Source organism: Homo sapiens, chromosome 7 (genome assembly GCF_000001405.40).
Source record: "Homo sapiens chromosome 7, GRCh38.p14 Primary Assembly".
Classification (NCBI taxonomy): Eukaryota; Metazoa; Chordata; class Mammalia; order Primates; family Hominidae; genus Homo; species Homo sapiens.
The window spans coordinates 139,561,570-139,574,126 of NC_000007.14; the positions used below are offsets into that span (position 1 = coordinate 139,561,570).

At 47.8% G+C, this 12,557-nt stretch overlaps 1 protein-coding gene across 13 annotated transcripts in view, besides 2 other annotated features; it reads right to left on the reverse strand.

The window, feature by feature from the left end:
• HIPK2 (homeodomain interacting protein kinase 2) overlaps positions 1-12,557 on the reverse strand; it is a 216,429-nt gene continuing 203,872 nt past the window's right edge. For all 13 annotated transcript variants that reach the window (XM_047420265.1, NM_001113239.3, XM_047420260.1 and 10 more), the window contains one exon: positions 1-11,828. In XM_047420265.1, coding sequence (XP_047276221.1) covers positions 11,358-11,828 — 471 coding nt within the window. In that variant the 3' untranslated portion in view covers positions 1-11,357. The remainder of the gene's footprint in view (positions 11,829-12,557) is intronic.
• Positions 7,021-7,521: an enhancer, noted in NCBI's record as "H3K4me1 hESC enhancer chr7:139253336-139253836 (GRCh37/hg19 assembly coordinates)". NCBI's record gives its function as "activates a minimal SCP1, AML or CMV promoter by ChIP-STARR-seq in primed H9 embryonic stem cells {active_cell/tissue: H9 hESC(primed)}" and the evidence as "EXISTENCE:reporter gene assay evidence [ECO:0000049][PMID:30033119]".
• Positions 7,522-8,022: an enhancer, noted in NCBI's record as "H3K4me1 hESC enhancer chr7:139253837-139254337 (GRCh37/hg19 assembly coordinates)". NCBI's record gives its function as "activates a minimal SCP1, AML or CMV promoter by ChIP-STARR-seq in primed H9 embryonic stem cells {active_cell/tissue: H9 hESC(primed)}" and the evidence as "EXISTENCE:reporter gene assay evidence [ECO:0000049][PMID:30033119]".

Here is a 12,557-nt window from a genome sequence, read left to right on the forward strand (position 1 = left end):
TACAGTGATTTCAAACAGTTTAATGTAATTCCAAGACAAAGTGTGATTACATTTCTACACATATACAATATGCATATGTGAGTTTACAAATTTTAATTAATAAGTCATTTCACCTCGGAGACCGAAAAAATGATCAAAAAGAAACTATGAGTAACAAGCTATAACATAGTTCACCACAATGGGACCCCCCCCCCTTTTTCTCACCCTACAGTTAGTAATATTACAATTAAAATAACTATATTCTTCTATATTTTTTCTGTTAAAATCATCTCATAAATTTACAATGCTATTATTAGTTTCCAAGACTAATATAAATTCACTCCATTTTTCTACAACGAAAATGATTAATTTAGAAGCACACGACGTCATGATGAAAAACACAAGCATTTTAGTAGCAAGGACTTGATCAGTTAAGAATTAGTTTTCTTGTAAAACATTCTAAAGCCAAGTAAAATATCCATTCTTATAACATACCTATAATATGAGACTAAGGAATAGGTTACATATAGGTCTACAACACATTGGTTTGTCTTTAAAAAAACAAAAGTAGACATTTATAAATAAAAAAGAGGGACAATTCACATAGGAAAAAGAGGTACACGAGAAAATACTGTTGCACGCAATAATTTTCACACAGATTAACATGGATTAACACTTTTTATTACAGAAACCGTACGGTGAAGGAACACAACAGACCAGGGCTTTCATAGGGTTATTGAGATTGAGCTGAGATGACCTGGGAGAGAAAGATCTAGGTGAGATGACCCTGGGGAGGGAGCCACGTTCCTTGGACCTGGTGACTTAGTGTCGCCGGGTCTCCTCTTCCCTGTTCTCATTTTGGGGAGTGAGTCTTTCTATCCAGTGTCCTGAATTCATGAGCAGTTGAAAGGTAAACATTTCTGCAGATCCATTCTCTTTCTATCCTAATGGATACCATTTTTGGAAACGTGACAGAGTATCAGAGGCTGCAGCTCAGTACACGTGGTCAAAGCAAAACGGGATGGAAACTTCCAGTCACTCTGATTTGTTGCCCCCGTCACCCACTGATGCGCTTGAAGCTGGGACCCAGTGAGACAGCAGCAGCACCCTACAGGGCCTGCTGGCTCTGCCGTGGTGAGGTGGATGACAAGGGCCCGGCGCCACGCCTCAGCCCCATGTGTGCGGAGTGGCCTGGGACACAGCCCATGCACGTCCAAGACACCAGTCTTGACTCCGACCTCTAAAGAGCTCCTTCTCCTCATCTGTAAAGCTATACTTCTCCTATCCAATTTGGTTTGATATATATACACAAACATATATATCAACATCTATCTCTATACAGTGATTCTACTAAATTAGAAATTCTGCTGCCCCAAAGTATGACTTTCTTGTCTATTTCATTTGGTTAAAAAAATGCACACACAGAGGATGAAGAGATGATTTGGGGGCTAGAGATGACTGTGCCCTGGAAAGTCCATGGAAGAAGCTTGAAGTGAGCAGGAACACAAAAGGGAGGAGAGCAGAAACGGGGGACCGACTGACTCAGGGCAGCGCTGACGGGAACATCTGCTTGGGGTGGGGCGGGGCGGGGGTGTGCTCTCTGTTCCATTTGTTAGTTACAGGAAGCTACCAAGGATGCACATGGTCAAGTCACTTTCTACTTCCCAAGTTCCTCCTTATAACCTGAGCCAAACAATTTCAACAATGACAATCCATTGCCCCTTCAGCCCAGCAGGCGACTCTGACAGGGAGGTGTGACCACCAGTCTCAAGGCTGAGTGGGGCCTTCTTGCTGGCTCTCGCGCTTTCTGGGAGTCCTGGGTGCCTTGGCCCAGGGCAGTGGTGACAGCAGGGTGGAGGCAGAGGTGGCCCCGGGGACAGTGACCCTATATAAGGAAGGGGGCGGTGCCAGGAGAGATTCGTTTGGAGATTGGTTACAAGGAAGCGAGGGAGAGCAGAGGCAGAGCCCTTTTTCAGATACAACATACTTACTTTTCAAATGAACAAAAGGCAATTTCTATGTTTTAAAAATATAAGCCCCAAAAACAATGACACAAAATTCATTTGGTTAATTCATGTAAAGGAAAAAACAGCAACACCACCACACAAACAGGAAAGTGGGAGTATGATTAGGAGGGGTGAGATGAAAACTATTTTACAGTAACATTTCCACCAAAAGACTGTCCTAAGAACACGCTGTCAATACAGTTCACAGGGAAAAAGCAAATGTGGTATTTTTTTGTATTTTTTAAAAGCTCCCTGGTCCCAGGTGTTTTGCAGTTTTCAAGGTCTTATCTGCTAAAGGAATGCCCTTTAGGTCACAGCAGGTCCTCTGCAGTTTGGTGGTGGCACAAGAGAAAACATAAAAGAAACCAAGACTCAGGGAAACTGCCATTCCCCCAGTCTGTTTCTGCATGACAGTGGGGCCCATTCCTGTCTCGAAGCATCTTCTTGTTCCAAATATGATGTCTGTTTAGAGTGGGTCTCAATGGACCAGGCTGAGCTGCCCCTCTGTCTCTGCCTCCTCCTGCTCAGCCCTGACCATCTCTGAGAGGATGCTAAGGTCCCCCTCCCACCGAACTAGACTTTGAGTCTAAGCTGGACAATGAGTAAAACGTAAACATAGCCTTTTACATTGATTTTGCTTTTAAGGGGAAAACGAATAAATGACAGCAGATATATGGAAAACCCAGCCAGCGACCATGGGAATAGGGGTATATGGTCCTCCCCTACAAAACGCTGATCAAAATATCACCCCCGGCCCAGAAGTAGCAGCTGTGCCTTCATGGTCACCTGAATCCCAGTCTCTTCTACTGCCTGGTGCCTGGAAATCAGTGGATCTATTAATAAGTTAAATATTCAAATCAAGACAAAAATCAATGAACCAGGTTATCTGTTCTCAATGACTCTTCCAAGATGTCAGAGAGAAGGCCTTGAAGACAAGTGTTTAGACGACACGCATGAGACCTTCGCATCTGGCCCGGGCTGCGGACTCACACCTTTTCCCTCCATCTGGATTGCCTTTCATGTTCTCTTGAGTTCACGTGGAAAGTAATAATCCAGAGGGAAGTGCGCATGCTGGACTACAGAAGAGTCTGGGACAACACACTTGCCTTGGGGGAGACACAACCTCCAACTAAGAGGCATTCACTGGGGTTTGCGGATGTCAGTTATAAACAGAACTTTTCTTTAAAAAGTACCAGTCTAAATGTAAACTATAAAACACTTTAACTATAAAACGTAGCCAGAAATATGCTTAAGTATCCACAGTCAATTGTTTAGTTTACTCATTTAAAATGTGACTGTTTTGATAGCTTAGAAGGCTAACAGCATTTTACAGTAGCTAAAAACATATATACTTAACATGTGCATTTGAACATCGCATTTGAGTACAACACACAAAGAATAATCTCTTCCTTGGTTTAATTTTTGTTGTAAAGATGAGCTATTTTCAGAATTCACTTAAGCAACGATGACCGGGGGTATGAAGTAATCATTATTTTCAGCCCACAGAGAATTCATAGTCTTTAAATTCCAAGATCAAGCTGGCTACATGATTTCAAAAAAGGCTAAAACCAGGATGAATGCCCACATTTGAGGTAATTATTGCCATTAGGTCACAGTTTGTGTAAGATAATGTATCTAAAACCTTCTAAAAAAAAAAAAAATCTTTAGGTGTTCTGCCAGAATTCCAGAATACCTATTGAAACCAACCAGGATCTCAAACTCCGATTAGTTAGGTTTGCTTCCAATGGAGTTAAAGTTCTAAAAGATTCTAGAACTTGTGTAAACTACCTAAGAATTTAGGCAAACAAGCCTGGAGCCAGTCAACAAAGAAGGTTTTAAATGAAAAAAGGAACAAGAAACCCACTCAAAACAACTGAACAAATATTTCATAATAAATGATAATAGTTATTTTAAAAAATTAAAAATCTAGTCCTAAGCATTTCTACATTCTCACCATCTTTCAATCAAAATAAAAATGCATCTGTATTTCTGTTAATCTCATACCAGGGCAAGAGACACGCCTTCCTTTTATCATGAAAGCTGGCTGGTTTTCCTGTTTATACAATTGTTGCTATTTCTTTGAGAAGAGTATCTCAAAAGAAAACATTCTTTTGTTCCTCTAAGTCTTGTCTTTCTTCCACCTCTACTTCTTTTTTTTTTTCTTTTTTTTTTCTTTTTTTTAACAGAAAGAAAAAAGTTCCTGGACACCAGACCCACATATGGTATTTACAAATTTGGTGTGAACCCTGCCTCTGGTTCTGCCCAGAGCTGAAGAGTGAATCTATTACAGAGATCAGAGCTGTCAGGATAATTATCAAGTGCAGTAAAAAATAGCATTTTGAAAAAAATATATACCTTTAGTATTGCCTTTCTAGAATTAACTATAAGCAAGAAAAACTTATTTTTTAAAGAAGAAAAGAATACTTTTTCACTCTTACTTATAAGAGCTGGTTGTAGCAGCACTACTAAAGCTAGTTGGTATGCTGGAAAGAAATCTAAAAGGAATTCTATGAATCAAAAGAAACTCTCCAGAGATTTTCTCTAAAAATCAAACGAATTCTGCCCCTTTTGCCTAAATCCAACTCAGGAGCCCCCTCTTTGCACAGTCCTTTAGCTGAGTCCCACGGTGCATGGGATGGCACAGGGTGATGCTGTGTAAAGGCCTTTCTTTGCTCAGACATGCAGGAGACAGCTGTGGCTAATGGCTGCAAGCTCAGTTCTGGAGCTGGGCAGACTCAGGTTCAAGCCCTCCTCGCCCCTCAAGAGTTGTGTGGCTCTGGGCAGTTTCCTTGGCTGTAGGGGGACTAATATTGCCGATCTCACAGGGCTACGGAGAAGATGAAACAGGACAACCCATGAGCAATTCCCAGCACAGTGTGTGGCATGCAGGAAGCGGGAGTATCACTAAATGGTTCATAGAAATATGAGGCCACGCATTGCTATTAATTAAAAAAAGTTAAAAGATTAAAAATCACATCTCAGGAAGGGCCTGATGAACAAAAAAGGGAACCTTGGGGATTCTGGCCCATCACTGCTTTATCCTTCCTTCAACACCTGCCACTTCTCAGAGCATCCGGTCAGCTCCCTTATCTATAAATGGGGGCTGTTATCCCCCTCCCTGTGGGATGGCTGTTGGGGCCCCTTGAGACAACGCTCATAAAGGCCTTAGCCCGGGAGTCATGAAAGCATTCAACAAATGTTGGCTATTATTTACTTGAGAGATATTGCAAATTTTAACAAATAAGGGACAGTCAGTGTCATGTTCAACACAGGGATCTGAGATGAGGGGCTCCCAGAGGCTTGGGCAAGTCCAGCGGGGGGCATCGGGAAGACCCTCTCTGGTGCTGGTGTTCTGGGACGGGAGCCCTGCAGGGGGCACTTCTCTGCAAACTCTCACTGGGTTTGAGGGAAGAACGGCCTGGAGTTCTTTTTTGAACTTTTCAGAAGCTGCAACAAGAGAAACCTCTACTATGCTGGGTCCCTCTAGTGAGCCACGGTGCCAAAAGCCTCCAATAGGTTTTTTTTGCATTTAAATCCTGTTTCACCGCCTTCCATTCTCTAGTGGCCTGAGATTTTACTGAGTCTGGTCTGTGGAGATGAGAAGTGAGAGTTCTAAGGCATCAAAGTGGAAAAGTACTGCTATTCCGAGCCCAGCCCCCGCGTGCTCTACGCCCTTGATGCAACTGAACTCCTGGCAGCCCTGCTTTGCTCTCTCCCATGGTGGCCTGGGATTAGTCAAGCCCACGTATTGGTATGGCACCTTGTCTCCCGATAGCAGCAGCATCGAAGGGGTCACCTCCACTCCTCTTAAAAGAATAGCACAGTTTTGAAATAAATGCATTTTTTTTTTTTAAAAAAAAGGACAGAGAGGAAAGAGAAAGACAAATAGAATTGCATCACTAATGATGTCATTATTGCCTGGAAAGGAACGAAGGGAAGGCCATTTTGTCCATTTCTGGAGGCGTCTTTGAGAAGGGTTCTTTGGCTAAAGAAAGGAACAGTTTCACCTTCCTTTCCAATTTGGTAAGGACATCTCTGGCCTGCTCAAGTTTGAAGCTTCCCCATCAGAAGTCTGTAAAACACACCAGAAGGAAAAGACACAGACAGGGAATGAAGCCTGCAAAGTCCCTGGGGCTGGAATGTCTTGTGGCCAAGTCACTCCTGCTGGCGCTGTGGAGTCCCAGGCTGGCCTGCAGAAGGAACCCTTACCTCTCCTCAATTCTCTCTGCTAGTTGAGAGCACCGAGCCATTTCCTTCTTTCCATTTTCTGTCCTAGGGTCTACTTGACAGGCCAACAAGAGTGGTGGTCCCACACCCCACCCTGCCCTCAGCATCAGACAAAGAGAACCTGGGACAAAAGCTGGGGCGAGCTGGGTCCCCACGTCGCTCTCTCAACCATGAGCCATCAGTAATACTTCCCGAAGCCTCCTCATCTCCTCCCTCCAGTTTCCAAGAAAGTTTGTTCCACTCACTCACACATGCTCACACGGCCTAAATCTTCCACCCCAAGCTTGTTCCAATATGAGTGTTTGCCATTCCCAAGGTCCAACCAAGGGAAATCGTTCTGTCAGCAGTTGGGCTAATCTCCCCTTCCCTTCCTGATGTCCATCCGTCTCACACGTTGGTGTCTGGGCGGGCTGAGTCTTCTAGGTTGAAGAGGACAAAGGTCAGCTGGCTCCCCCAGCCCGTGAACACCTCAGCCACCAGGAAGACTAGAAAGGCTAACAGTCCAGGAGATGAATGCCGCTTTGCTCCAACCCTTCTTTTTCCTCTGAATTCCACTGACCGCACGCTCCACTTCACAGTATTAACTGGCATCAAGCCTCGACTCTCCCACCCCTTGATCTGCTCACCCACTTCCCTTGGAAACATCCAAAACATCATGAAGAGGCCCTAAGCACAGAGACATGGGGGCCCACGTCCAGACGGGCCAGTCAGAACCCAGTGAGCAGAAGCAAATTGCCCTGCGGTTCACCAGGCTCCAGTTAAACACTCCTCCGTGACCTGACATTTCAAATCTTCCCCTCTTCCTCTGAACAATGTCTCTTCAAATGGGAAGGAGGGAGCCCACAAAAGACTAGAGGATGCTCTAGATGATTCGTGGGCTAAGTAAGGACTAGGTTGGCATCCCTCTGCTTGAGAGCTTGGTCCTAGTGACAGCAGCCTATTTGCTAAGGTGACTCAATGGCAGATTCGGCCAGGTATGCAATTGGGCATCCAGGGAGCTGGCCTCTCCTGCAGGGAGCTTCTCTTGGGGCTTCTGATGTGGCAGCTCCATGCATGGGGGTAGAGGAGGCCATTGGGTGAGGACTAGGAGAATGTGCACTAATGTTTGCTGAGCGTCTGTGGGGCTGGCATCGCCCAATACTTCCCTTCCCTTCCCTTCGGTGAAGCTGGCTATTTCACCCCTTTCTTCAACTGGGGCCTAGCACTTTGTGGGTCTGGGGACAGCGTGTGAGCACCCAGCGCACACAGCACAGTGCACTGAAGATGTGGCCGGAGCCCAGTGGGGATGCTTTCAGAGGGGGTGCAGCCTGTGATGCCTGAGCAGCCGCCCAGCTTTGTTCAGGGTTTCTCTGGCCTCCTGCTGTCCCTCCACCCACTTCCAGCTGGCTAGAATTGGGTGCTGGGGGCATGCATCACAGGGGGAGGGGGCAGGCTGAGGAACTGGGTGGTGTGGTGAAATTTCCTGGGGAAGGTACCACCTGCCAGTCACTCTTACGCCACCTCACTGTGCCCAGCAGCTTCTGGGAGGGGGCAAATGTCCCTGCATTGAAGAACCTAAGCCACGCCCCAGGTGCGCCGATGGCAAAAGGATGGATTGTGGGGAAGCGGATGGGGTCACCTCTGGGAGGGAATTTTCTTGCTTAAATACCAGAGGCAAGCCAAAGATTTAGTTAACAGATTTCAGAAGCACAGGAGAGCTCTGAGGATGTGGGAGAGAAGCTGGCTAAGGGCTGGACAGTCAGTGACTCGACATTCCCCGAGCCCATGAGATGCCACCTGACGTCGCATCCCAGGCCTCTGGGATCTAGAAAATGACAACCTTGATGGTGACCATGTTGTCAGAAGCCCAATCAAGGCTTTGATTCTTCTTTAAACTTTTGTTCTGTGGTGGATCTTTCTTGACGTCTCTTGTTGGGATAGAGATGACAGAAACAATTTTCCTACTTCCTAAGTCTTTCCTTTTTTTTTTTGCCTGACAAAACTGGACATCTGGATGTCCCTCCAGTCTACTTATATACTCACAGAGAGAATAAGTTTAAATATTAAAGAGAAAACACAAAGATACTTGGAATAAATGTGCATTTAAAACCCTGACTAAAATATCAACATAATGATCATAATTACAATGGTAATAAAAATAATTAGTACAATAATATTATCTTTATGAGCAGCATGGAAATTTCATTCCTGATCTGGAAGAATAAAAGGAAAGAAAATGTCAGGTGAAAGAGTAAGTAGCCTCCAACTTAAGCAGACAGAATAATTTTCTTTAAAATGAAAAGAACATTTTAAGCTGTCTTTCCCCCTAAAAGATCAGATCTAGAAAGGGCTGGAAATGAACTGTGCCCAGGAATCTGGGGGTGCTCTCCAGTAAGGCGAACTGAGGCTCATTTGCAGCCAAGACTTGGAACTCGGGATGAGACCTAATGGGCTATTGCTGCCATCTGGCTGCCAAAAAGTCCCTAATAGATGGATTTTCCAGGCTGACCCAGCTGTGGGGCGGGGGGGGGTCCTCTGGCTTCTGTGTCCTCTGAAGCGTTTGCTGCCCTCACCCTCTCTGAACTGACCATTGTCCTGCTGTCTCAGAGGGCTGCGCTTCCCCACCTCCAGATAAAGACAGTATTGATAATGGCCCGAGGGAAGGGAATCTCCTTGCTGCAGGCCTCTTGCCGGCACAGCCTCCAGCAGGCACTTGGCAAGACTGCCCGGCTGTGCCCAGCATGGAGCAGTCATGGTGTCCTTCCTTCTCGCTGAGGCCTGGACTAAGCTGTTTCCAGTTTGGGGACCTGTTTCTTTATAAGTAAGAATTTATGGTTGGGGTGGGGAAGTTTCCAGAGTTATTTCACAGCTAAGAGCTAAGTAACGACTTCGTTACTGAGTTAGGTTGGATATCACTACAAACACACCTTTCACAGTAGATCCTTGAGGGAGACTGCACAGTGAGGAAGTAAAGGGAGGGAGGATGAGGATGGGGCCGCTGACTCGGGAAAGATCTCTTTGCACCTTGGAAACCTGCCTGTGGGGTCAGCTAAAGACTCAACATCAGAAGCAAACAATTAGAACCACCCTTTTCGGCCCCATCCTTGGCCAGATTCTCCTGCCATTCACATTCACATATTTCAGAGTTATTTACTATGAAGAGAGGGAACTCCCCACTTCTCCACACCTCCATCCCCAGAAGTGTCCAAAGCCTGAGAAAACTTCCAGAATGTATCAAAGGTGCAAAGAGGGCAAAGGGCAGATTTCTTTGGAAATTCAACTGTGTGAGTTTTTCCAAAGTGCAGCGTCAGACCCCCGGCCACCCTCATAAGTGTCCCTCCAACCTTCTGCCCACTAGAACCCTCAGAAACCAAAACCAAAATCATGTCTTGAGCAGACCTGGGTAATGTGAGGAGAGAATTCAACAGCAAACAGAGGTTGGTGGTTGTCTACAGAGGGAGGGATCTGGCAAGATCGTTAGAGCAAAACAGCCCAGGGAGCCGGAGGAGAGAGTGGAGCCCCGGGCGAGGCTGAGAGCTCCAGGCTCTCGTGGAGGCGGGAGGGACTGGGGGATGCCGCCTGGGGCGGGAGACGGCTGCCTGGCGAGGCCAACAGTCCGGAAACCTCTGGCCTCACAAATGGCGGAACTGGGGACAGAGTGGGGCAGGGGTGAAGGGTGGGGAGTCTCTCTGGGCCTCCGCCCACAAATTACAACTCAACTACTGCCACAACTCAACTCCCGCCGTCCCCATCTCCAGACGCACCCGCCGGGCATCTGTCTCCCATATTTCTTTCGAGATCCACGGACTCTCTCCTAGCTCCTGCTGGCTTCCCTGGCATCCTTCCGCTAGCAAACAGCCCAGGAAAGACAACGGGCATTAACATTTTAAAAAGAAAAAGAAAAAGAAAAAAAAAAGGCCAGCGTAAACTGTTACAACAGCACAACAGAAGAGCTGAGATTGTGTCTGACTAGCCTCAGTTTCTTGGAGTACCAGTGGAAGTAAACCCTCACGCCGCGTCTGTCGCTCGGTAAGGCACTAGGAGGGAAGGATGCAGTGTCAAGACTGCGCCAGCTAGGGTGGCGGCGCCGAGGGCCACGCGGGGAGGGCGGCGCGTGCACACCCACACGTGCTCGCTCACCCGCACACCTGCACCGCCACATTGGTTACATGCCTATGTTATATCGCTTTTTTTTGTGCAATTACATTGAGGAATATTCTATTGGTATCATTGGAGTTGAACACAAGGTAGGAGACAAGGGTGCTGAGTGCTACATTCTACTAGGGTGTCTGTGACGACCGCTAGCCCTACGCTACGCGACTAGGGGTGGATTCAAAGAGAAAATACATTTTCAGAAAAGAAAAAAACCTAAAGTTTGCAACACACATTATTAATGACATTTGAGAAACAACGTTGCTTAGGGATTTATCCAGAGTGCTCAGAAAAAGAAAACTCGCCCCGCGCCCCCGGGGGCCTTCCAGCAGCCTGGCCGTCCCCCGTCTTTCCTGACTAGGGAGCCCGGACTGGGCTTCGCCAATCCCACACCAGCTCCAAACATCAGCCTCCTCAGGCTGCAGCCCGACATTCTGGAGGGCTGTTGACCCTTTCGAGTTCTGGAAAAATCCCTAAATCTTATGTTCAATTAATTAAAAATCTATTTGATTTCCATATCAGGTGTCCCTGACAGCAGTCTTCCGTATCACTTGCTGCCATATGAAAATAATCTTTGAAAAGTTCATAAAGTTCTTCAAAAACTGGGGCCCCCCGTTTCTGGAATCTTCCTGTTGCTCTCTTCTCCTTTCCAGTTTGGCGTAGAATGGGTTCTTGAGCTGGGTTTTTTGTTATTGACTTTTTTTTTTTCCTTTTTCTTTTTTAAAATAAAAACCATAGATTTCCCACCCTCTTTAATCCCTTCCTTTTAAAAATGTTCTCTTCTCTGCTCTACGTCCTCCCACTTCCCGGTTCAAGTTTCACTGGTGTCCCGACCCGTCCCCCTGCCCTCTGCCCCCCCCCCCCCCCCCGCCCCTGCCCCGTTTGCATTGTTTGTGTGCGGCATCTTCAGTATAAAAGGCCAGCGCCCACGGTCCCAGGAGCGCCTCCCTCCTTCTCTCCCTCCTCCCTCGGGCCATTCTCTCCCTCCCTCCCTCCCTCCCTCCCCTCCAGTGTTTATATGTAAGGGTACTGGTTGACCTTGGCGGGGCTCAGTGGGTATCCAGTGTAGACGGTGGAGGCTGGCGAGGCGCTGATGTAGGTCTGGTGGGCAAATTGGGCTGGATACTGACTCGGGTGGATGGTGGGCGAGGGCAGGACCCGGGGGCCCATGCTCACGGGGACCTGGTGGACGATGCTGGCTGGGTAGGCAGTGTGCTGCACGGTGTGGCGCGCAGAGCCTTGCGAGGCCACCAGGTGGGCCACGGTGCCGGTGGAGCCCAGGGCCGCCGGCGCAGTGTAGGTGTAGAGGTGGGGCTGGGTGGGGAGGTGGGCAGCGGCAGCGGCTGCAGCCAGATGCGGGTGCACAGTGCCGTGGCTGGGGCTGTTGTGCGGGAAGGAGTACGGAGCCTGGGCCATGGTGGGAGTGATGTAGGCCTGCTGCCTTCGGTGGCTCCCAGTGCGGTCCGTGGTGATGTGCTGCTGAGCCTGGGGAGGAGAGGCACCAAGAGAGACGTCAGGGGCCGACACATGGGGAGGAAGGAATGGGAGGAGGGGCAGGAGGGCAGGGAGGAGGAAGAGAAGGGAAAGACTCCAGAAGTAATAGAAGGGGCTTCCCTCTGTGTGTTGAGAAAGTAAAAATTTACTTGGGACCTGGCGCAGTGGCTCACGCCTGTAATCTCAGCACTTTGGGAGGCAGAGGTGGGCGGATCACCTGAGGTCTAGAGTTCGAGACCAGCCTGGCCAATATGGTGAAACCCCGTCTCTACTAAAATACAAAAAAATTAGCCGGGCATGGTGGCACGTGCCTTGTCTGTAGTCCCAGCTATTCGGTGGGCTGAGGCACAAGAATCACTTGAACCTGGGAGGTAGAGGTTGCAGTGAGCTGAGATCACGCGAGTGCACTCCAGCCTGGGTGACAGAGTGAAACTCTGTCTCAAAAAAAAAAAAAAAATTTACTTGGACTGAGAAAATCCCGACTTGGCCTGCCACTCACTGGGCTGGGATGATACACGGATAAAGCCAGCTGCAAAGTTATAGGAGAACATATTTCTCCCAAGGACGTACAGAAGCTGTGAAGTATCAGGATGCCCCAGGCTGGAGTGCAGTGGCATGAACCTAGCTCACTGTAGCCTTGAACTCCTGGCCTAGAATGATCCCCCCGCCTTGGGCTCCCGAGAAGCTGGGACTACAGGCGTGAGCCACCGCACCCGGCCA